General features: G+C 40.5%; 1 protein-coding gene across 1 annotated transcript in view; it reads left to right on the top strand.

Moving 5' to 3' along the window:
- Nucleotides 1-23,902, top strand: part of ASXL2 (ASXL transcriptional regulator 2) — a 144,735-nt gene that overhangs the window by 18,177 nt on the left and 102,656 nt on the right. The window contains exon 2 of the mRNA NM_018263.6: nucleotides 14,748-14,830. Coding sequence (NP_060733.4) covers nucleotides 14,748-14,830 — 83 coding nt within the window. The remainder of the gene's footprint in view (nucleotides 1-14,747; nucleotides 14,831-23,902) is intronic.

Here is a 23,902-nt window from a genome sequence, read left to right as displayed (position 1 = left end):
AGGCGGAGTTTCGCTCTTGTTGCCCAGGCTGGAGTGCAGTGGCGCGACCTCGGCCCACTGCAACCTCTGCCTCCCGGGTTCAAGTGATTCTCCTGCCTTAGCCTCCGGAGTAGCTGGGATTACAGGCATGCGCCACCATGCCCGGTTAATTTTGTATTTTTAGTAGAGATGGGGTTTCTCCATGTTGGTCAGTACTCCCGACGTCAGGTGATCCGGCCGCCTCGGCCTCCCAAAGTGCTGGGATTACAGGTGTGAGCCACCATGCCTGAGCATTTATTTTATTTTATTTTTAAGAGACAATGTTTTGCTATGTTGCCTAGGCTGGTCTCAAACTCCTGAGCTCAAGCAATCTGCACACCTTGGCCTTCCATAGTGCTGGGATTAGAGGTGAGCCGCTGTGCCCGGCAAAATATTTTAAACTTATTTTGAGATTTCTTATTTGACCCATGTGTTATTTAGAAGTGTGCTGTTTAGTTTCCAAATATTTAGGGGTTTTCCAACTATCTTAATGATTTCTGGTTAAATTCCACTGTAGTCTGAGAACAGACATGTATGATTTGTTTCTTTTAATTTGTTAAGGTGTGTTTTATGGCTCAGAATGTAGTCTATCTTGGTGAATATTCCATGTGAGCTTAAGAAAAGTCTGTTTACTTTGCAGAGTCTTTAGCTCCTCTCTGCGTTTTGTCCAGGTTGTATAGCTACATTCAGTGGGAGTGACAGGGTGGAATATGCTTAGTCCATTTTAAGAATTGGAACTCATCCCTATATTTTGAGGTATTTCTTTCGGAGAGATTGGAAATATGGTTACTTGTAATTTGCTTCTTTGATACGTTGCTTTATTTAAGGTATATACCTATTTGTAATGCCACCAGCAATGTATGAAATCACTAGTTTTGCCACATAAGGGATATATTTTAAGGGTAACACTTTTTGCTTAAAAGTTATAAGACAGCTTGGAAGTTCAGCTATAATTAAATAATATTGCCTTAAATGGTTAGAAAAGTATAAAATATAAGTAATTAAATATATATTTCAGTCTGAGGTTTTTCATGTAAAATTCAGGTTTCTTAGCTGGGTGTGGTGGTGTGTGCCTGCAGTCCCAGCTACTTGGGAGGCTAGGTTAGGAGAATCAACTTGAGCCTAGCAATTCAAGGCCAGTCTGGGCAACATAGCAAAACCCTGTCTCAAAAAGAAAAGGCCAGGCGTGGTGGCTCACACCTGTAATCCCAGCGCTTCAGGAGGCCAAGGCAGGCAGATCACCTGAGGTAAGGAGTTTTGAGACCAGCCTGGCCAACATGGTGAAACCCCGTCTCTACTAAAAATACAAAAATTAGCTGGGTGTGGTGGCAGGCGCCTGTAATCCCAGCTACTCGGGAGGCTGAGACAGGAGAATTGCTTGAACCCAGGAGACGGAGGTTCCAGTGAGCCGAGATCACACCACTGCACTCCAGCCTGGGCAATAAAGAGCGAGACTCCATCTCCAAAAAAAAAAAAAAAATTAGATTTCTACTTACGTTCACTTTATTTGTCACCATTTCTTCCCTTTATCAATTTCCCTCTTTATATTAGGCTTTAAATTTTTTTTTTTTGAGGCGGGGTCTCGCTCTGTCGCCAGGCTGGAGTACAGTGGCGTGATCTCAGCTCACTGCAGCCTCCGCCTCCTGGGTTCAAGCAATTCTCCTGCCTCAGCCTCCTGAGTAGCTGGGAGTACAGGTATGTACTACCACGCCCGGCTAATTTTTGTATTTTTAGTAGAGATGGGGTTTCACCATGTTGGCCAGAATGGTCTCCATCTCTTGACCTCATGATCCGCCCACCTCAGCCTCCCAAAGTGCTGGGATTACAGGCGTGAGCCATTGTGCCTGTCCAAAAAAAAATTTTTTTTTTTTTTTGGAATGTAGACACAATGGAGATGAGGAGGACATGGCTGCTATGGAGTAAAGGAAGGCACCAAACTAATATACCCGGTTTGTGATGGAGAGGCCATTTTGTCATTTTGTTCTGAAACCTTTTCTGGCTTTCGCTATATAGGATAAGGGATTTAGGCAGAGACCAAGGGAAATATTATAAATATTATCAATTTAAAAGAATCAGTTGTTTGTATCTGTAAGCTAATGGAGGGAGCAGTTCTTTGGTAATTGTCTTAGGTTCGCTTAGGGTAGGATCAATTTGCAAACACTAAATCTCAGTGTCATATATGTGGAGATTCATTGTATTCAGCATTGAATGTAGTTAAATATTTATTGAGCACTTACTATATGCCAGGCACTGCTCTAGGATCTGTGGATGTAGCAGTGAACAAATGAGGAAAAATAAAATCCCTGCCTACAGAACTGCTTAAACCCAGGAGATAGAGATTGCAGTGAGTTGAGACCGCGCCACTGCACTCCAGCCTGGGTGACAGAGAGAGACTCTGTCTCAAAAATAAATAAAATAAAATAAAGTAAAATAAAAATCCCTGCCTGCATGGAATTTAACAGATTTGTAGGTAGGGGTGAAAGATGGACAACATGGTAAATAAGTAAATTACAGTATATAGTATGTTAGTGGTAAGTGCTGTGGGGAAAGTGAAAGCTGGATGACTGGGGAATGCTGGGCTGGTTTTGAAGTAGTTCGTGATTTAAATAGGATAGTCAGGGAATGCTTCACTGAGAAGTTGACATTTGACCAAACATATGAAGGCAGTGAAGCTTTGCATACATCCAGGAAAAGAGCGTTCTACATTGGTGGAGTAGATGGTGCAAAGATTCTGAAGCAGGAGAGTGCCTGCCTTAGTCTAGGAATGATGAGGTAGCCAGTGTAGCTCCATGATTAATTGGAAGTTTATTCCACGAATGCAAAGCTACTTTGTTATTAGAAAAATATTGATTCATTAAATTACTAGGTCAATGATGAAAACTATATGCAGAGATGGGTACATATAGGTACAATCCTTGTCCCAGCTACCCAGACAAAGATTTTATTTCCTAGACTCTCTTGTGTCTAGATAGTGCCAAGTGACTATTTTTGCAGTAGAATGTGAGCAGAAGTAATACGTGTCACTTCCTAGCCAAGGTACTCAAGAATAGGGTGTGCTTTTTCTCTGTGTTCTCTTTTGGGGTTGGATACAGAAGAACTCCATGGCTCACCACATGGCTCACCACATGGCTTACCACATATTGGAAAGAGCCTTGTTTTTTGAATTGCTTTATTGAGAAAAGCTGCCCATCTCCCCCCCCCCGCCCCCCCCAAAAATCTAACAGCCAATAACACAATGATGATAAATTGCTAGAGACAAGTATATGAAAAAATTAGACATGTGATGAAGAAACTTGCTATCATTACTGTTATTTGGCATTATTCTAGAACTTGTAGCCTATGTAGTATTAAAAATGAGGTATAGGACACTGTCCCAGCTGCCACCTAGACTCGTCTCCATCGAGGACCCCTTTGACCAGAATGACTGGGCCACTTGGACCTCGTTCCTCTCAGGGGTGGACATCCAGATTGTGGGGGATGACCTGACAGTCACCAACCCCAAGAGGATTGCCCAGTCCTTTGAGAAGAAGGTCTGCAGCTGTCTGCTGCTGAAGGTCAACCAGATCGGCTCGGTGACTGAATCGATCCAGGTATGCAAACTGGCTCACTCTAACGGCTGAGGGTTGATGGTGAGCCACCACTCTGGGGAGACTGAGGACATTTTCATTGCTGACCTTGTGGTGGGGCTCTGCACAGGACAGATCAAGACTGGCGCCCCCTACCCCTTGGAGCGTCTGGCGAAATACAACCAACTCATTTGAGGATTGAGGAGGCTCTTGGGGACAAGGCTGTCTTTGCTGGATACAAGTTCCGTAACCCGAAGGCCAAGTGAGAAGCTGGAGACTCCAGGACTCCACTGGACAGACCCAGGTCTTCCAGACCTGCTTCCTGAAATAAACACTGGTGTCAAAAAAAAAAAAAAAAAAAAAGTATAGGCCAGGTGAGCAGTGGCTCATGCCTGTAATCCCAGCACTTTGGGAGGCTGAGGTGGGCGGATCACCTGAGGTTAGGAGTTTGAGACCAGCCTGGCCGACATGGTGAAACCCCATCTCTAATAAAAATACAAAAATTAGCTGGGCATGGTGGTACAGGCCTGTAGTCCCAGCTACTTGGGAGGCTGAGGCAGGAGAATTGCTTGAACCCAGGAGGCGGAGGTTGCAGTGACCCGAGATTGCACTGCTGCACTCCAGCCTGGCGACAAAGTGAGACTCCGTCTCAAAAAACAAAAAACAAAAATTAGGTATGGTGGTGCATGCCTGTAATCCCAGCTACTCGGGAGGCTGAGGTCAGAGAATTGCTTGAACCCGGGAGACGGAGGCTGTGGTGAGCTGAGATCACGCCACTGCACTGCAGCCTGGCCGACAGAGCGAGACTCTGTCTCTAAATAAATAAATAAATAAATAAATAAATGCATTATCAAGATTGTGTTTCTGTCTCTCTCTCTTTTTTTTTTTTTTGAGACGGAGTCTCGCTCTGTCGCCCAGGCTGGAGTGCAGTGGCACGATCTCGGCTCACTGCAACCTCTGCCTCCCGGGATCAAGCAGTCCACTCAGCCTCTTGAGTAGCTGGGACCACAGGTGTGTGCCAGCATGCTCGGCTAATTTTTATATTTTTATTTATTTATTTGAGACAAGAGTCTCACTCTGTCGCCCAGCCTGGAGTGCAGTGGCATGATCTCAGCTCACTGCAACCTCCACCTCCTGGGTTCAAGTGATTCTCCTGCCTCAGCTTCCCAAGTTGAGATTACAGGCATGCACCACCACACCCAGCTCATTTTTGTGTTTTTAGCAGAGACGGGGTTTTGGCATGTTGGCCAGGCTAGTCTCAAACTCCTGACCTCAGGGAATCTGCCCGCCTTGGCCTTCCAAAGTGCTGAGATTACAGGCATGAGCTTAATTTTTATATTTTTAGTAGGGATAGAGTTTCACCATGTTTCCCAGGCTGGTCTCTAACTCCTGGGCTCAAAGCAATCCACCCACCTCGGCCTCCCAAGAAGTGCTGGGATTACAGATGTGAGCCACTGCGCCTGGCCTGTTACCAAGTTACTATCTATAAAGGTGTATCATTTTACCCTCTCCACTGTTTAGTGTGTATGTGCCTGTCTGATTCAACTCTTGAAGAATTTAATATTACCAGTTTAAAAATCTTTGCTATTTTGTTGAGTGATAGATAAACTTTGAGGTATCTGTCAAAAGGAGTAGGGAAGGTATGTCATATACAGAGCAGCATGAGCGAAGGTGGCATGCTGGCAGTGTGTGAGCGGCACTGTCTGCCAGAGCTGAGGAGGTTCTTGAGGGATATGTGTGTTGCAGGACACTGAAAGTTTCTATTTGGATGTGTTTCTTAATGGCTTGTGCTCTACAGTAAGCCTGTTCTTGACATCAGCTCCTCAAGACAGACACTGGCAGCAGTCTCTTAAAATGGCTTACTATAGAGGATGAGTGGAATAGGTCATAGTCTCTGCTGCAGTAGCTGGTTCCAAGGCCGTATTAATATTCATCATCTCCTTCTGCCACTGCCTAGTCTAGATTTCCGTCACTCATGGCCAGACTGCAGCTGATCAAGGTTGCTTGCCTGAAGCCATCATTCCTGAGGAGTCTAAGCCCCTATTTCTCTTTTCCATATCATGCCTTTGCCATATGCTGTACTTGCCTTTTATCATTAGATGTGGAAGCACTGAGGAGCACCTACTAGGTTAAGCTACAAATTGCTGTCACCTTCAGAGCCACCGAAGTGGTTGGCTCTTCTTTTTGAGGAATTATAACAGGGTTCTGAGAGTTGGATTCTGCTGATGACAAGTTGGACAACTCAGCAGCAGCAGTGGCTCTTTTCATTAATTAGCTGACAAAACCTTAGGCAAGTTATTTAATTTCTCTGCACTTCAGTTTTCACATCTGAAAAAAAATGGGCTGATAGTATCTACCTCATAGGTTTATTGTAAAGGTTAAATAAGCTAATATATCTAAATCACTTAGAATAGTGCTTGGCAGTTAAATGCTAGATAAGTATTAACTGTTAGTGTTATTAACTCTAAAGAGTTTGAAGAGAGTTTGGTTGAGAGCTTTTTTTCTTGAACTAGGGAGTGTGTATAACCTCCAGACTTTTTGGATAATTAAAAGAATCCAAGCTAGGAAAGACTAAACCCAAGTGACTTGATAGAGCTGTTCAGAATTGAGGGACCCCTAGGTAAACTATGCCCATGAGCTTACAATGTCAGCTTCTGTAATCTTCTCTGTATATCTGTAGGTGCCTCTCTGTATAGGTTTCGTATTTAAGTATTCTCAGCTACTTTTACACTCAAGTTTCTGCGCCCAAATCTGTAAATTTATTTGCATTTTCCCTCACCTTTTATCCTTTTTTAAAAAGAGGCATTTTTACTAGTGTCTGAAGCTAATCTTGCCACATATGTTCCTAATTCCATCAGCCAACCATTAAGTGTTTTAGATCTGTCATATAATAGGCACTAGTAATACTAGATGAATAAGGCTGGGCATGGTGGTTCACACTTGTAGTCCTAGCTACTTGGGAGGCTGAGGCAGGAGGATTGCTTGAGCCCAGGAGTTCGAGGCTGCAGTGAGCTATGATCATGTACTCCAGCTATAAAACTGCATGCCACCTTGGGCGACAGAGTGAGTCCCTGTCTCAAAAACAAAAAAACGGTGCACTGTGATAAGCAGTACTGGGGATGTATACGGTGCTGCTATAGGAGCATGGCTATTTTTGAAGCCATGGGAGGATGAAAATGTCCAAGGAGAGTAGACACTGAGGAGAAAAGAACCCTGAAGAAGACCAACATTAAAAGACTGTGGAGAATGAGGAAGTTGCTAGTAGAGAGGTAGAGTAGAGTGAACCACAAGAGTCTAGTGTGACAGAAGCTGAACAGAAAAGTGCATCTCAGGACACAGGTAGTGATCAGTAGATAACTGCTAAACAGCCAGGTAAGGACTTTTTCCCTCTTTCCTCCAAAGGCTCTGTTAGATCACATTTCTGTCTAAATACCATGTGTTCCTTGTTACTCTCATGTGTTGAGCTCCTGAACTCAGGTGAGTGAGTGTATAGTGAGTTTGGTAGCTGAGGGAAACCGCATCCTCTGAATTCATTTTGTTCTTGAGTATCAAATCGGAACTAGTACCTCAAGCTCAGATAATGAGGGATTTGTCAAAAACCGTATGTGAAATTACTTGCCACTCATGGTGGAAAGGGGGAAGATGGGATATGCAGGGATATTTGGGTCTCCCTTATGCTGGTTCAGTGCAACTTCATTTGACAAAACAATTATTCCTCAATTCCACATGTTCTGTTTCCTTTATTGTCCTAGAAAGAGTTGTTTTAATCCCCTATTACTACCTTTAGACTCCCAGTCAGTGCTAAATCCCCTCACATCTGATTTCTTCCCTCCGCATTAAGTGGAATCCGAATTTACAAAGCTAATTAAACATCCCTTTGTTGACAAATACAGGGGATACATTTCTGTTGTTATCTCAGCTTCTAGGCAGCATTTGACATTGTTGACCACCTAAACCTTAGAATACTTTTGTCTTTTCTGAAACAGCAGTGTTTTCTGGTTTTCTTCTCATCTCTCTGGTCATTTAGTTTATTTCCTAGTTTTTCTTCTCTGGCTCTTAAACGTTGATATATTGTTCTATAGCAGAAGCCCTCATCTCTTCTCACTCTATATTGGCTGATCTGATTTACTGGTATGGCACAAGTTACCCTAATTAAAGCTTTTGGGCAGTAAATGAGCCTTTTAACACTGATAGAACTTTATATATAGATCACTGTGTTACTTATTTGGACATTTAAAATGTAGCAGTCATATAGATTATACAAAATTCAGACTCTGCACATCTGTATATCTGGAATGAACTCATAATGTAATAGTAATTGAAATATTCCCGTTATTTAGGCTAGAATCAAACTTGAATCTTAGAGGCAACTCAGTTATTCTCGAGTGTTAGAAAATATAATTTTTAAATCCTTTTTATTAACTGAATTGGGAATCTACAAGCTAAGAAGTAAATATATTAAGCACCCTTTAAAAATCTAGCTTTAAATCTATGTAGTGTTGATTTTAGTTATTCTGAGTGGTTATTCATATTGTCATAAAGTAGTTTCTAAAAATTGTACTTTAAAGTTTCCATGAGCAGTTCAGTGGAATGAGGTTTGTTTGATAAACACTGCCCTCCTGTGGTTAACGTAAGCTAACAGTTTTGCAAAACTACTGTAGTCATTTCCGCTTGTGGAAGATAATGTAATGGTTCATACAGCATGTTTGCTCAGTAATATATGTGGCCAAGAAAGGGTTTTTTTCCCTCATTCTCTCCCTCTTGGTTTTTTCCTAGTGTGTCTGCACATTCTTCTCATTTCTATCCATGCACATTTTCTTTCTTTTTTTGGTGGGGGAGGCAGAGTCTCATTGTGTCACCGAGGCTGGAGTCCAGTGGCACGATCTCGGCTCATGGCAACCCCCACCTCCCAGGCTCAAGCGGTTCTCGTGCCTCAGCCTCCCGAGTAGCTGGGATAACAGGCGTGTGCCACCATACCCAGCTAATTTTTGTATCTTTAGTAGAACCAGGGTTTGGTCATGTTGGCCAGGCTGGTCATGACTGAGCCCGGCCCATGCACTTTTTCTTATGTGAATTATAAGAGTTAAATGTAAACGAATACAGAAAAAGTATTAAGCTATCAAAGGGAGGGAAGCTACATTTAAGTGTAAACATGCTTAAAGAAATAGAAAAGACCAGTCAGTTACAATACATAAAATTAATAAAAACTTTAATGGAAAATCAATAGTGATAAAAAGATGAAGAATAAACTGGAAGAAAGGGTTTGTAGTAAATGTGACAGTAAATGTTTCAATATATTTAATGTAAATTAGAGAGCTCTCACAAATGGTATATAAGTGGACAATAGCCAATGAATAGCCAATTCACAAGTGAGGAAATACAGTAATTAAAGCACAAAAGTATATTTAAATCCATAATGCTGCTTTATAAAATGATACTCATATTAATAGTGGTATTTGAAACAGAAATCAAATCACCTTTGGAGCATGCCAGAAAACCAGCTAATTATTCTGAAAACAGTAAATACAAAAATAAGTTACTTATCCTGCCCTTTTCTTTCTTTCTTTTTTTTTTTTTTTGGAGAAGGAGTTTTGCTCTTGTTGCCCAGGCTGGAGTGCAGTGGCACAATGTTGGCTCATTGCAACTTTCGCCTCCCAGGTTCAAGTGATTCTCCTGCCTCCTGCCTCAGCCTTCGGAGTAGCTGGGATTACAGGCATGCGCCCCCACACCTGGCTAATTTTTGTAGTTTTAGTAGAGATGAGGTTTCACCATGTTGGCCAGGCTGGTCTCAAACTCCTGACCTCAGGTGGTCCACCTGCCTTGGCCTGCTGGGATTACAGGCGTGAGCCACCGCATGCAGCCTTATCCTGCTTTTTTAATATGAATTGTACCTCGGGTAACCAAATAGATAGTGGAAAGCATCTATTTTTAGAAGGACTCTGGCTTATAAATGAAAAAGGAACGATAGACTATCAGCACTTTCCAGCCCCTAAATAAAATGATGGAGATAGTGATCATCGGTGGCTGCTAAAACAATTAGATTGAAATGCTGATGGGAAACTTTATAATAAGTGGATCAGATAGACCACATCTATCCCACTGATATATCTTAGCATCTCAAAAAAGAGATCATAGATGTTTTGTGTGTTCTGATGTGGTGTGGTAGGAAGTATACCATAAGCCTATGAAGTTTTCTTGCTAAAATAAAATCTGAATCTGAGCAAGCCTCTAGATTTCGATTCTAATTTTCAGGAAATGCAAGGGACAGAGGACCATACGATTAGCAAAATACAGAATGTGTGTAACTACAATACAGTTTACTAGTTTTTTCTCTAAGTAAATTGGAAGAAAAAGTGAGAGAAACCCATAGATTAAAAGATACTTCAAGACATGTGTTAGCCAAATGCAGTATATGTGGGTCTATTGATTTGAACAAACCAACTGTTTAAAAAAAGTGGTTTTTCCCTGTAAATTTGGGACATTGACTAAATAATTTGATATTAAGGAATTATAGTCATTTTCTGAGGTGTAAAAAAAAAAATTTAAGTCCTTGTTTTCAGAGATATATACTACAATAATAATGAATGAAATGTCTGAGGCTTGCTTCAGAATAACCCAGTTTGTGGACGGAGGGTGTCTGAAGGTATGGAGGAAACAAGATAGGCCATGTGTTGATAATTGTTGAAAATGGGTGATGGGTATGTGGTGGTTCATTGTAATGTTCTCTCTCATTTGGTGAATTTTTTTTAGATTTCCATAATAAAAAGTTTTAAAAGTGTAATATTTAAGTCTTTAATTGAAAAACATTTTTCTTTCTCCCCAAAACTATAGCTTTAAGTAGTCTGAAAAAATTTAGTATAATACTTTTCTAAATTAAAACTAATTTTAGGCCAGGCATGGTAGCTCACATCTGTAATCCTGGCACTTTGGGAGGCTGAGGCAGGTGGAATGTTGAGCCCAGGAATTTGAGACCAGCCTGGACAACATGGCAAAACCCCATCTCTACAAAAAGTACAAAAACCCAGCAGTTCGAGACCGGCCTGGGCAACATGGCAAAACCCTGTCTCTACAAAAAAATACAAAAATTAGCCAGGTGTGGTGGCATATGCCTATAGTCCTAGCTACTCAGGAGACTGAGACAGGAGGATAGCTTGAGCCTGGGAGGCGGAGGTTGCAGTGAGCTGTGATTGCACCACCGCACTCCAGCCTGGGCAATACAGTGAGACCCTGTCTCAAAAAAGACAACAAAAAACTTTTTTTTTTTTTTTTTTTTTGAGTCAGAGTCTCACTCTTTCATCCAGGCTAGAGTACCGTGGCGCTGTCTCGTCTCACTGTAGCCTCTGCCTCCTGGGTTCAAGTGATTCTTGAATTCTTGAACCAGCCTCCTGAGTAACTGGGATTACAGGCGCCCAGCCACCACCACCCCCAGCTAACTTTTTGTGTGTGTTTTTACCAGAGGCAGGGAATCTCCATGTTGGCCAGGCTGGTCTTGAACTTCTGGCCTCAAGTGATCTGCCTTCCTTGGCCTCCCAAAGTGCTGGGATTACAGGTGTGAGCCACTGTTCCTGGCCTAAAAAAAAACTAATTCTAAATGCCTAGCATTTAAAGGAAACTGTGATAAACATTTTTTTAAAAGAAAATAAATATTCCATATATATATATGTAAATTTTTTTTTTTTTTGAGACGGAGTTTCGCTCTTGTCATCCAGGTTGGAGCGCAATGGTGTGATCTCAGCTCACTGCAACCTCCGCCTCCTGGTCCAAGCGGTTTTCCTGCCTCAGCCTCCGTAGTAGCCGGGACTACAGGCACCTGCCACCATGCCCAGTTAATTTTTGTATTTTTAGTAGAGACGGTGTTTCACCACATTGGCCAGGCTGGTCTTGAACTCTTGACTTCTGGTGATCTGCATGCCTTGGCCTCCCAAAGTACTGGGATTACAGGCCTGAGTCACGGTGCCCGGCCTCCTTAAGTAGTTTTAACCAACTGGTTTACTGTGTTTGATTAAAGTACAGAACATCTTGGAAATCAGTGAAATCCTTACTAAAAAGACATAATTTTTGGTCTCCACTTCTATTTATTTATTTATTTGTTTGTTTATTTTTGAGATGGAGTCTTCCTCTTGTCACCCAGGCTGGAGTGCAGTGGCCCAATCTCGGCTCACTGCAAGCTCCGTCTCCAGGGTTCACGCCATTTCCCTGCCTCAGCCTCCCAAGTAGCAGGGACTACAGGCGTCCGCCACCACGCCCAGCTACTTTTTTTGTATTTTTAGTAGAGACAGGGTTTTACCATGTTAGCCAGGATGGTCTCGATCTCCTGACCTTGTGATCCACCTATCTCGGCCTCCCAAAGTGCTGGGATTACAGGTGTGAGCCACCGCGCCCAGCCGGTCTCCACTTCTAATAGCTTAACATCTTATGATGTTTAAAACCCATTAAAATATTAAAATAACTTAATTCCTTGTTTTGCAGAATATATTAGAAAGTATTAATTTTTACCATTAACATGGATAATATAAATATTTTCAGTTCTGAGTGTGGCTCATTCTGATAATGATTTAATAGTCCCCTTTCAGTTAAGATTTGATATGCCAGAGAAATGACACTCTAGAAATATTTATTAATTTCAGTTTTCTGGCTCCTTGGACAGATGTATGTGTGCATACATAGCCATTTCATGGTGTTTATTATTGCCATGTTTTTGCCATTTAAATTGGCAGGAAAAAACCCACATTAAAATGTATTACATTTGATTGCTAGTAAAGTCAAATAATTGTATTTCATTTGCTTCATAAATTTTTATAGGATATTGAATATGTACACAAAAGTGGACAATAGTATAGTGAATATCTTTGTTTATCATTTACCTTCTATAATTATCAATTTATGGCCAATCTTGCTATATTTAAACCTGCAACTTCTTGTATATTTTTTGAAGTCCCAGACATCATATGATTTCATCCGTAAGTACTTCAGTGTGCAAATGCTTTTTCATATGGTTGTGATCCAGTTATATTAACCCTTTTGTGAACTATTTATCCAGGTCCATGGTGTATTTTTGTTTATTTTCAGTACTTTAATACATTTTTAGTATATAAACAATAAATAAATAGAAGTTTTCTGTATGGGCCTTAACTTGGATGAAGGCAGTAAGTTTAACTTTGGACATCTAAAGTTTGAAATGCATGTGGGATATCCAAGTTTTACAAGTTTTTAATAGTTTTTTAACAGACTGCCGCTTCATCAAAACGTGAGTGGTGAAAGCTTGGTGTGGTTAATGTTATTAAGGGAAATTTTGGTGGAGTGAAAAGTAAAAGGGGTAAATGGATGTTTATAAAATATTTGAGGGATGGGCATAGAAAAAGACATCTACAAAGAAAACTGAGAAAAATATTTTGGGGAAAAAGAAGAGTCTAGGAGGTGATGTCTGCGAAGGGAACAGTTTAATAATGTTAGATGTAGCAGAGAGATCAAGGAAGATGATACACAGAAATATGTGTTGGGTTTTATGACTGACCAAATGAGAAAGTAGTTACAAACACTGGACACAGCATGCTATAGTGGTGCAAGACTTGGATTTGAATTTTGGCGCCACTTATCTTGCTGTATTATGTTTGGAAATATTACTGGTTATTGTATTTTTGTTTCATATATAAATGTAAGTGTAAACAACAAAATAAAACATACATGAAATATACGTATATATCTGTTGAGACTCTTAGCTATTTGTTTCAAGAATATTCACCAGACATCTTGAAGCATAGTTATAATAGCTACTTTTGTCTGATAATTCCAACATCTGTGTCACATTGGGTTTATTGTTGTATATAGCTTGTCTTTTGTCTTGTGAGTTGCTGATTTCCTTACTCTTCCTGTGTTGAGTAAGTTTGAATTGTATATTAGACATTATTTCTATTTTTGAGACAGGCTCTGTTGCCCAGGCTGTAGTGCAGGGGCACAATCTCGGCTTACTGCAACCTCTGCCTGCCAGGTTCAAGCTATTCTCACATCTCGGCCTCCCGAGTAGCTAAAATTATAGGCGAGCACCACCATGCCCTGCTAATTTTTTTTTTTCTTTTTTTGAGATGGAGTCTCGCTCTGTTGCCCAGGATGGAGTGCAGTGGCATGATCCCAGCTCACTGCAACCTCTGTCTCCCAGGTTCAAGTGATTCTCCTGCCTCAGCCTCCTGAGTAGCTGGGATTACAGGCACTCACCACCACGCCTGACTAATTTTTGTATTTTCAGTAGAGATGGGGTTTCACCATATTGGCCAGGCTGGTCTTGAACTCCTGACCTCAAGAGTCATCTGTCCGCCTCGGCCTTCCAAAGTGCCGAGATTACAGGCATGAACCACTGTGCCTGGCCAAGATGAATCATGGGAATTCCTCCCATGCTTGTAGGACCCCTTGCAAGGTTAGCCACTGCTGGTATTACCACAGCTGCTCCCATGCGATTGCCTGGGGCAAGGGCGGAGAAAAAGGAAAGGGGGGAAAAACCCAGATAATTTTCTCTCCCTCTATCCAACCTTTAGAAATGCCCTCTTTACTGTGCCTCAGACCAAAAAATATTTTTCTCTTGGAGCACTTTCTGCCTGCACTTAGTCTGCAGTTCCGGGTTTTGGGCTGCCTTTAAGTCCAGGCTCAGGGGAGCTACCAGAGGGAAACAAAATCAGGAAACTCACTGCTGGACTAGTGTGGTACTGCTAGTTGTGCTTTCCTCCCCAGGCCAGGCCACCTGCTACCATTTTCGGAGTCCTCAAATAGCTGCTTCATGCATTCTGTCCAGGTTTTTAGTTGCATTCAGTGGGAGAGACAGAATGGACTTTGCCTACTATGTCTTTACCAGAACCAGAACACAGATATTACTTTAATTTTATTATAATCATATTGTTTACTTGTTTTGGTTAAGAATTTATTGTGCACCTATGATTTAGTAGGCTTTGCTATACATTTACCAGGAAATGGATAATCTTAATGTGCTTGCAGTAGGTCACAGGTAGTGAAGGGATGTGGGGATGGAGGGAGAAAGTAAACAATTGCATATGTATTAGTAGTGAATAATTGGGTTATTAATTTTAGCTTTTAAGACGTAATTATAAGAAATATATATAGAATTATAATAACTTGAAATAAGAAATAATTTATTATTATATACTTGTTTTTCAGGTCTTAGAAAAATACCCCAATACACCCATGAGTCATAAAGAAATTCTTCAAGTTATCCAGAGAGAAGGACTAAAAGAAATCAGGTGAGTTATTTAAATATTTTTAGTAATAATTATAATACTTGATCAGAGTATTTGGTAGTATATAATAGTATACTTTAGTCCTGAAGATTAATTACTTAATAATAAATGCTTTGTTCTGATCAGATGTCAGATCTTTGGCATTTTTTAAGTCATTACATAGTTTTAAAACCAGAAAGTTTTAAACCAGAAGGTTTTAAAACCAATTCTTAGAGGGTAGCTATCTTTAAGCCCATGCACTTTAATTTTTAGGAAGACCTGGAGCCATCTTCAAGCCTTCATCTGTCTCTTTAGGCTTTTTGATTTAATAAACTTGGTCATTAGTGATAAAAATTACTCTCATACAGGGAGAGTCCTAGAGGTAGACAGATAGTCCCAGAAGAAATAATGCTGGCTAAAAAGGATAAAATGAAAAAGAACTGTAAAGCAGTATATATGTCAAATAATAGTCTTAACATGTTCAAATATAATAGACTTGGGCCATTAGTACAGGATCAAAGATAACACAGACTTTAATTTCTAAGAACCTTATTATATTACAATAGCAGGCCAGGCATGGTGGCTCATGCTTGTGATCGCAGCTGTTTGGGAGGCTGAGGTGGGAGGATTGCTCAAGGCCAGGAGTTTGAGACCAGCCTGGCCAACATAGTGAAACCTCATCTCTACGAAAAATTGTATTAACTAGATGTGGTGGTGTGCTCCTATAGTATTTCAGAGGCTGAGTTGGAGGATTGCTTGAGTCCAGGAGTTCGAGGCTGCAGAGTGCTAAGAAGGTGCTATTGTACCCCAGCCTTGGTGACAGAGCAAGAAGCTGTCTTGTAAAAAAAAAAAAAATTACAGTAATACTTAATAGTCAATGTGTGTGTGTGTTTTTTTTTGTTTTGTTTTTTTTGTTTGTTTTTTTTTTTGAGACGGAGTCTGACTTTGTCACCCAGGCTGGAGTGCAGTGGCACGATCTTGGCTCACTGCAACTCTGCCTCCCGGGTTCAAGCATTTCTCCTGCCTCAGCCTCCTGAGTAGCTGGGATTACAGACACGCACCACCATGCCTAATTTTTGTACTTTTAGTAGAGACAGGGTTTCACCATTTTGCCCAGGCTGTTCTCAGACTCCTGAGCTCAGGCAATCTGCCTGCTTTGTCCTCCCAAAGTGCTAGAATTACAGGCATGAGTCACCATGCCTGGCCAATAGTCAGTGTTCTTAATCAAGACTCTCTATCATCAAGAAATGTTAAAATTATATTAAGTATGCTCTGTATATTAAGACAGAAATTTGGGAGTCTATGTTAGATTTTCATTAAGATAGGAAAAGTTTGCAGTGCTTTCAAACTACTGGTTTTCAACTATAGGTGGCATTGTGTAACACTCTTGGAGAAAGAGTTTAGAATTTTGGGGGGCTGTTTTTGAGTATCACAGTGATTGGGGTAGGGGAACACAATGGCATTTAGTGGGCAGGTAACAGGAATGCTAAATTTGCATTGTGTTGGACGTTGCTTCACATTGAATAGTTTTTCATCTCAGGTGCCAATAGTGTTCCCATTGAGAAACAGTAAGCTATGCCCAAATATTTGTAAATAGACAGTGTATTTCTTGATGAATAGCCATTGCATGTTCTAGATTTTATTTCTCATTTTTTCTTTCTTTCTTTCTTTCTTTTTTTTTTTTTTTTTTAAGAGATGGAGTCTCATTATGTTGCCCAGCCTTGAGTGCAGTGGCTGTTCACAGCCATGATCATGGTGTACTGCAGCCTTCAACTCCTGGCCTTAAGTGATTCTCTCATCTCTGCCTCCTGAAGCTGGGACTATGGGCACTCATTTTCTTTTCTCTGACGTGAAATTCTAGTTGAGTTTTTTTATTTGCTCTCCCTTTCTAAAGCAGTTTAAATTCTTTTTTGATTTATAGTCAAACTTCAGTAGGTTGAAATAAGTTAGGTTTGCTTCATTGGTATGAAAAAGTAAAATATATTAGTTTACCTTACTTTATATAACACATCCCTGAAAAATTGAGTGTAAACATTTTAAAATTAAAACATTAAAATGCATTTGAAGGCCAGGTGCAATGGCTCACGCCTGTAATCCCAGCACTTTGGGAGGCCGAGGCAGGCCGATCACCTGAGGTCGGGAGTTTGAGACCAGCCTGGGCAACATGGTAAAACCCCGTCTCTATTTTTTTTTTTTTTTTTTTGAGACGAAGTCTCTCTGTGTCGCCCAGGCTGGAGTGCAGCGGTTCCATCTTGGCTCACTGCAATCTCCGCCTCCCAGGTTCACCCCATTCTCCTGCCTTAGCCTCCCGAGTAGCTGGGACTACAGGCACCTGCCACCATGCCTGGCTAATGTTTTTTGTATTTTTATTAGAGACGTGGTTTCACCGTGTTAGCCAAGATGGTCTTGATCTCCTGACCTTGTGATCCGCCCGCCTTGGCCTCCCAAAGTGCTGGGATTACAGGCGTGAGCCACCGTGCCCAGCCAAAACCCCGTCTCTATTAAAAAAAAAAAAATTAGCCAGGTGTGGTGACGCTTGCGTGTAATCCCAGCTACTTGGATGGCTGATGCAGGAGAATAGCTGGAACCTGGGAGGTGGAGGTTGCAGTGAGCTGAGATTGCACCAGTGCACTCCAGCCTGGGCAACAGAGCGAGACTCTGTCTCAAAAAACAAACAAACAAACAAAAAAAACATATATATATATATATATACACACACACACACACACACACACGTGCACACACGCACACACATACATACATATATATAGATATATACATCTATCTATCTATCTATCTATATATATATATACACACACTTGAAGAATTAGCTTTTAAAAGTACCTTTTGTGGGCTGGGCGCAGTGGCTCATGCCTGTAATCCCAGCACTTTGGGAGGCCGAGGCAGGCAGATCACTTGAGGCCAGGAGGTCTTAATGTCAGTATCATCCAGCTGTAACATAGTAAGGCTCTGGGACTTTAAACTTACCATGATCATTTCCAGGGAGCAAGCAGGAATAGTAAATAAATAAAGATTATTAAAAACAAACAAAAACAGCAGGAAAAAATGGAAGAGTTTTTTTTCAAAAGGTAGTAAAGTGTGAATCATCAGATAGCTTCTGGTTTACATAGTGACAATTGAAAGTAGCTTTTCCTGGTTAAACTATATTGTGGTAATGCAGTTACAGCACAACAAAGCAGTACATGCTGACCACCCTTAGCAGGGAATGTGCTTTCGCTCACCTATTGGACAGTTAAGTCTTTTAGGTCTCCATTTGGATACCTCTTTTTCAGAGACAATTTTGGTTGACTTACTGGTCTTGATCATATCTTCTTATTTTAGTTTGTTGTAGTGTTCTGTGTTCTTTTCTTTTTTTTTTTTCTTTTTTTTTTGAGACAGAGTTTTGCTCTTGTCGCCCAGGCTGGAGTGCAGTGGCGCGATCTCAGCTCATTGCAACCTCTTTCTCCCGGGTTCAAGTGATTTTCCTGCCTCAGCCTCCCGAGTAGCTGGGTCTATAGGCACGTGCCACCATGCCTGGCTAATTTTTTTTTTTTTTTTGAGACAGAGTCTCGCTCTGTCCTCCAGGCTGGAGTGCAGTGACGCCATCTCAGCTCACTGCAAGCTCTGCCTCCCGGGTTCATGCCATTCTCCTGCCTCAGCCTCCCGAGTAGCTGGGACTACAGGTGCCTGCCACCACACCTGGCTAATTTTTTGTATTTGTAGTAGAGATGGGGTTTCACTGTGTTAGCCAGGATGGTCTCGATCTCCTGACCTCGTGATCCACCCTCCTCGGTCTCCCAAAGCTAATTTTTGTATTTTTAGTAGAGACAGGGTTTCACCAAGTTGGCCAGGCTGGTCTCGAACTCCTGACCTCAAATGATCTGCCCTCCTCGGCCTCCCAAAGTACAGGGATTACAGGCATGAGCTACCGTGCCTGGCATGTTCTGTGTTCTTTATAGCACTAAGGTTTGAAATTATATATGTTTGTGGTGGTAAAAAAACATACAATTTCTCTGTACCTTACGTTAAGGTAGCTCCAGAGGCAGTGACATTATCTTTCCCCACTCCTCAGCATATGATGCATAACAAGTATTTAAAACCTACTTGTTAATGAATATATGAGGTATTATTAGTTGGAAGATCATATTCATATATAATTATAGATTATTCTCTCGCTGCCGTGATGTGTCAAATGGCACTTTTTTCTCTGAGGCAGGGTCTCACTCTGTAACCCAGGCTGGAGTGCAGTGGTGCAATCTCAGCTTAATGCAGCCTTGTCCTTTTGGGATCAAGCAGTCCCATGACCTCAGCCTCCTAAGTAGCTGGGTTGAGAGGTGCATGTGCCACCATGCCCAGCTAATTTTCGTATTTTTTGTAGAGGCAAGGGTTTCGCCATCCAGGCCGGTCTCAAACTCTTGGACTCAGGTGATCCTCCTGCCTTGGCCTCCCAAAGTGCTGGGATAACAGGCGTGAGCCACCATGCCTGGCTGGTAGTCTTATACTCTTAAAAGTTTTTAGAAAGATTACAGAATGAAACACGTACTATGCTTCTTAAAGGTGTGTGACTACTTACTGTTTTATTTTCATTCCTCGGACCTTAATACATGACTTTGAGCTCTACTCCCTTTATATTTTTCCTTTGGCTCCCAGATTTTGAAGAATTTTGCCTAGATTCAATACCATTTTTGTTTGATTTTAAAATTTATTAAAGTGGTAACAACTGAAATATTTATGAACAGATTAATGAATAAACAAAATAAGGTATATGCATACAATGGAATATTATTCAGTCTTAAGAAGATATAAAATTCTGATACATGCTACAGTATGGATGAACCTTGAAAACATTATGCTAAGTGAAGTAAGCCAGACCCAAAAAGACAAATATATGACTCCAGTTACATGAGATACCTAAAATAGGTAAGTTCATAGAGAGAAAGTAGAATAGAGGTTACCACAGACTGGAGTAGTGGGGAATAGTGAGTTTCTATTAAATGAGTACAGAATTTCTGTTAGAGACGTTGAAAACGTTCTAAAGATGGATGATGGTGACAGTTGCACAGCATTGTGAATGTACTTAATGCCACTGATTAAAAACGGTTAAAATGGTAACTTTTATGTTATGTGGGTTTTACCGCAACCAACCAATAAAATATTTAAAAAGAAGTGGTTGGCTCCTAGCTGCGAAAGATTCAGGTACTAGCCCCTTTAAGAAGTTAGGTGGTAAGATTGGAAATCATTTATCCAAAGTATGGAACTCTGAGAATTAATTAGAAACGTGAATTCCTTTTTTATTTTTTTATAAAAGCATTACAATATTTAAATTAAATGCCTGTTTATAACTATAAAGCATAGCAGCATTTTAGAAAATAAGAAAAAGGTCCTTAAATTTTTCCCCTCACGAGGATCTGTGACTTTTTGTATTCCATTATGTTGTTTTTATGCATTAATGCACTAATTTTAAAGATAGTTTAAGCTGGGCATGGTGGCTCATGCCTGTAACCGCAACACTTTGGGAAGCTGAGACGAGAGGATTACTTGAGGCCTGGGGTTTGAGACCAGCGTGAACAAGATAGCGAGACCTTGTCTTTACAAAAAAAAGAAAAAAAAAAAAAAGAAAACATGGTAGTGCAAGCCTATAGTCCCATGAATATATGTCCTATGAATATATGAGGTATTATTAGTACCTCGTATATTAATAATAATCACCTCAGGAAGTGTCAGAGGTGATTCAAACTCCAGCCTCCCAAATATGCTGGGAGGCTGAGGCAGGAGGATCACTTGAGCCCAGGAGGTCAAGGCTGCAATGAGCCGTGATCGTGCCACTGCACTCCAGCCCTGGGCAACAAAGCAAGACCCTGCCTCTTAAAAAAAAAAAAAAAAAAAAAAAGATAGAATTTCCCATAGGAGTAATAGGGAAGAAAAAAGACAGAAGTTTGGATGTTTCAGGTGAAATGGGAGGACATGACTTAGGCCAGGAGAGGTTAAGAACTGTTTCTGTTACACTTAGTAGTCAGAGTCAATAGCAAAGGCATTGTGGAGTTCTTTAAATTAGCTTAGTTCTTTTTGTAACAGTTAAAACAAGAAGACATGAAAAGTTATACTATAGATAAATGCTGTAGCTGTGATATCTGGTCATTTGTAAGTAGAGAAGAGTTAATTCCCATACTGTTTACCAATAAACAGTTATTTCATAAAATCAAAAATAGTAAAAAGAATTTTGTTGAGAGATGTCTCACCTCCTTGTTCAATTTTCTGTGGCTAAAATATAACCTAATTTCTGTTTGTTACATAAATACCAATGATAATGTGGCAGTGGTTTCCTAGGGTTGAGCTCTTCAACACAGAATTGCTTGTTCCAAATTTGAAGTACTGTTAGAACCTTTAAAACAATTTTGTAAGCTTTTACTCATTTGTTTTTCTGTAGACAGTTTGCTTTTTAAAAATCTATATTATTCATTGGGTAGAGATTTTGTTTATTGGGTTTGTTTAAGGAACCCCTATTCTCATTATTACAGCTCATGTGTTGATTCTGGATTATACTGTGCATTTGTATGAATCTAAATATTGAAGGAATGGTTAGGTATTTTGTTTCCCTCCTGAGACACTGGAAATAAAACCAAAGATTCAGAGAGATGTGTCCATTTTTGTGTACATTTTGACGGTATACTTCAGTTACTAAGGGAAACGATTCAGAATTTTATTTTACCTTGAATCAAAGTAACAGTTATGGCAAAATGGTTGTCATTAGCCATCAGTATATAAAATAGCCTTTTTAAAAAAGCGCTTTCCTTTTTGTCTGATGATGCTGATTTTACAGTTTGCAGAGAAACAAAGAGCACCTAGTGCCCCAGTTTAAGTTTCTCCCGACTTGTGCCCATATTTCTTCTTGTCATTACAAACTATTTGTCAGGAGTGTCAGAGGTGATTCAAACTCCAGCCTCCCAAATATGCTCACATGGCTACTCCCACACAGCTTAATGGAACTGTTTCTGGGATTTTGGGCATTGATAAGTTAAGAGTTCTGTGTAAGTCTCTGAGCTATACACTTCTATAGTTCTTATGGTCTGATCAGAAGACCAGAAAGTACACAGTAATTTGAACAGGAAAGTTATTAACTGGAACTTATTAACAGATTAACCAGGGATTAACTATTCAAAGGTAAAAAGAAAGCAGGGCTCTAGTTCAGTGGATGGCAAAGTTCATTGGTGCTGCAGCCTGAGGTGGCCACAGGAAACTGCCTACTAGGTACTAAAAGAGCTTAGCTGAAAAGCCCTCTGCTGGGGAATCTGTCCCACCTTTTGGGGAATAAATATTAGCTACTACATATTTATGTAATACATAAAAATATACAGGTACAGCTGAACACATGAGTGAATGTAACTTCTTTCTTTTTCTTTCTTTCTTTTTGAGATAGTCTCACTGTCACCCAGACTGGAGTGCAGTGGCACGATCATGGCTCACCGCAGCCTTGACTTCCTAAGTAGCTGGGACCACAGGCGTGCGCCACCGTGCTTGGCTAATTTTTTGTGTTTTTTTTTTTTTTTTTTTGTAGAGACAGGGTTTTGCCATGTTGCTCAGGCTGGTCTTGAACTCCTGGACTCAAGTGGTCTGCCTGCTTCGGCCTCCCAAAGTGCTGGGTTTACAGGCATGAGCCACTGCACCTGGCCGCCTCTTGGTTTTGTTTTATTTTGTTTTTTAATCACGGCTCACTGCAGCCTCAACCTCCCAGCCTCAAGTGATTCTCCCACCTCAGCCTCCCTAGTAGCTGGAACCACAGGCACACACCACCATGCCTGGCTAATTTTTAAATTTTTTGTAGAGACAAGGTCTCTGTGTTGCACGGGCTGGTCTCAAACTCCTGGGCTTAAGGGATCCTCCCACCTTGGCCTCCCAAACTGCTGGGATTACAGATGTGAGCCACAGTACCTGGCCTGAAGACGCTTTTTTAAAATATAAATTTTTACTTTTCGAAAATTGTAAAAACAAAAGGATACATCCTCCATCATAAACTATAAATAGTATTTACACCCTGGGCTGTTCTGAAATAAATTGCAGTCATTTTATCACATGAATATGTCACTTTATATCTAACAGATAAGAACTTGAGACTAGTTGTATGCAATTTGGATATTCTGGCTTACAAAAAATAGAACAATTAAATCTACACATTAAGCCTACACACTGTTGACAGAATACACGCCCTGAATATTCTTTGAAACCATGCCTATTAATTCTTTACTGTAACTACTCATTACTACTTCTGTGCTTAGGCTAGATATACAATAGGTTTTTCCCTTCCATCAGCTGTGGCTGCCATTAGTGTTTACAGATGTGCTTTTATAGCATTAAGTGTCGGACTTAATGCCTTCCTTCTGAAGTAGCTATTGCCTTTAGTGCTTCCCACGCCCCCCCCCCCCACCCCCCTTTGGAGTTTCCTTAACCTGCTTTGCTCGTCTTATTAACTGTAATATCTTGACTCTTCTATCAGCTAATAGAGAAATAGAGTTTTTAGGAAAGAAGAGAAAAATAGTAAAATATTCAGTTCTTGAGACCCTATTCTCTGACTAGTTTTTCTTGTCTTTCCATTCATGAATAGAAGAGGGGAAATAAATTAGGAAGATTATTTGTTCGTGAATTTATTGTCCACAAATTTGGCATTTTATGAATTAGACCATTCATGAGTGATCCCAAGGGTTCATGATATATAATTAGTAATTGTGGTGAGTTTGAATCTTTCACACTATAAGATTAGTATAGGTGAGTAAGTTATATAGCTAATGAATGAGTGTGGCCAACTGCCTAGATTGTAAAGAACTCTGGGAACCACCCAGCAAAGATTATGCTCAATAAACATTTTAGAGACTGAGATTTTACCTCTGTCTGGGGGAGTCCTAATGACATCTGATTAGTACTAATTTGTTTATGAAGAAAATAATCTCTTTCATACAGTATTTAAGGTTATATGTTTTAGCTTACTTTATACTAAAAACCAATCAGAGCACCTATTTTTTTTCCCATATCTCTCCACATGCAAAAGTGTATATAGCAAGGGAAATAAAGTCAATATTCTCTACTACTTTTCAGCAGAAATCC

Source organism: Homo sapiens, chromosome 2 (assembly GCF_000001405.40).
Source record: "Homo sapiens chromosome 2, GRCh38.p14 Primary Assembly".
Taxonomy (NCBI): Eukaryota; Metazoa; Chordata; class Mammalia; order Primates; family Hominidae; genus Homo; species Homo sapiens.
Note: the sequence above shows the minus strand (reverse complement) of the source record. Positions and strands in the feature narration are given on the sequence as shown.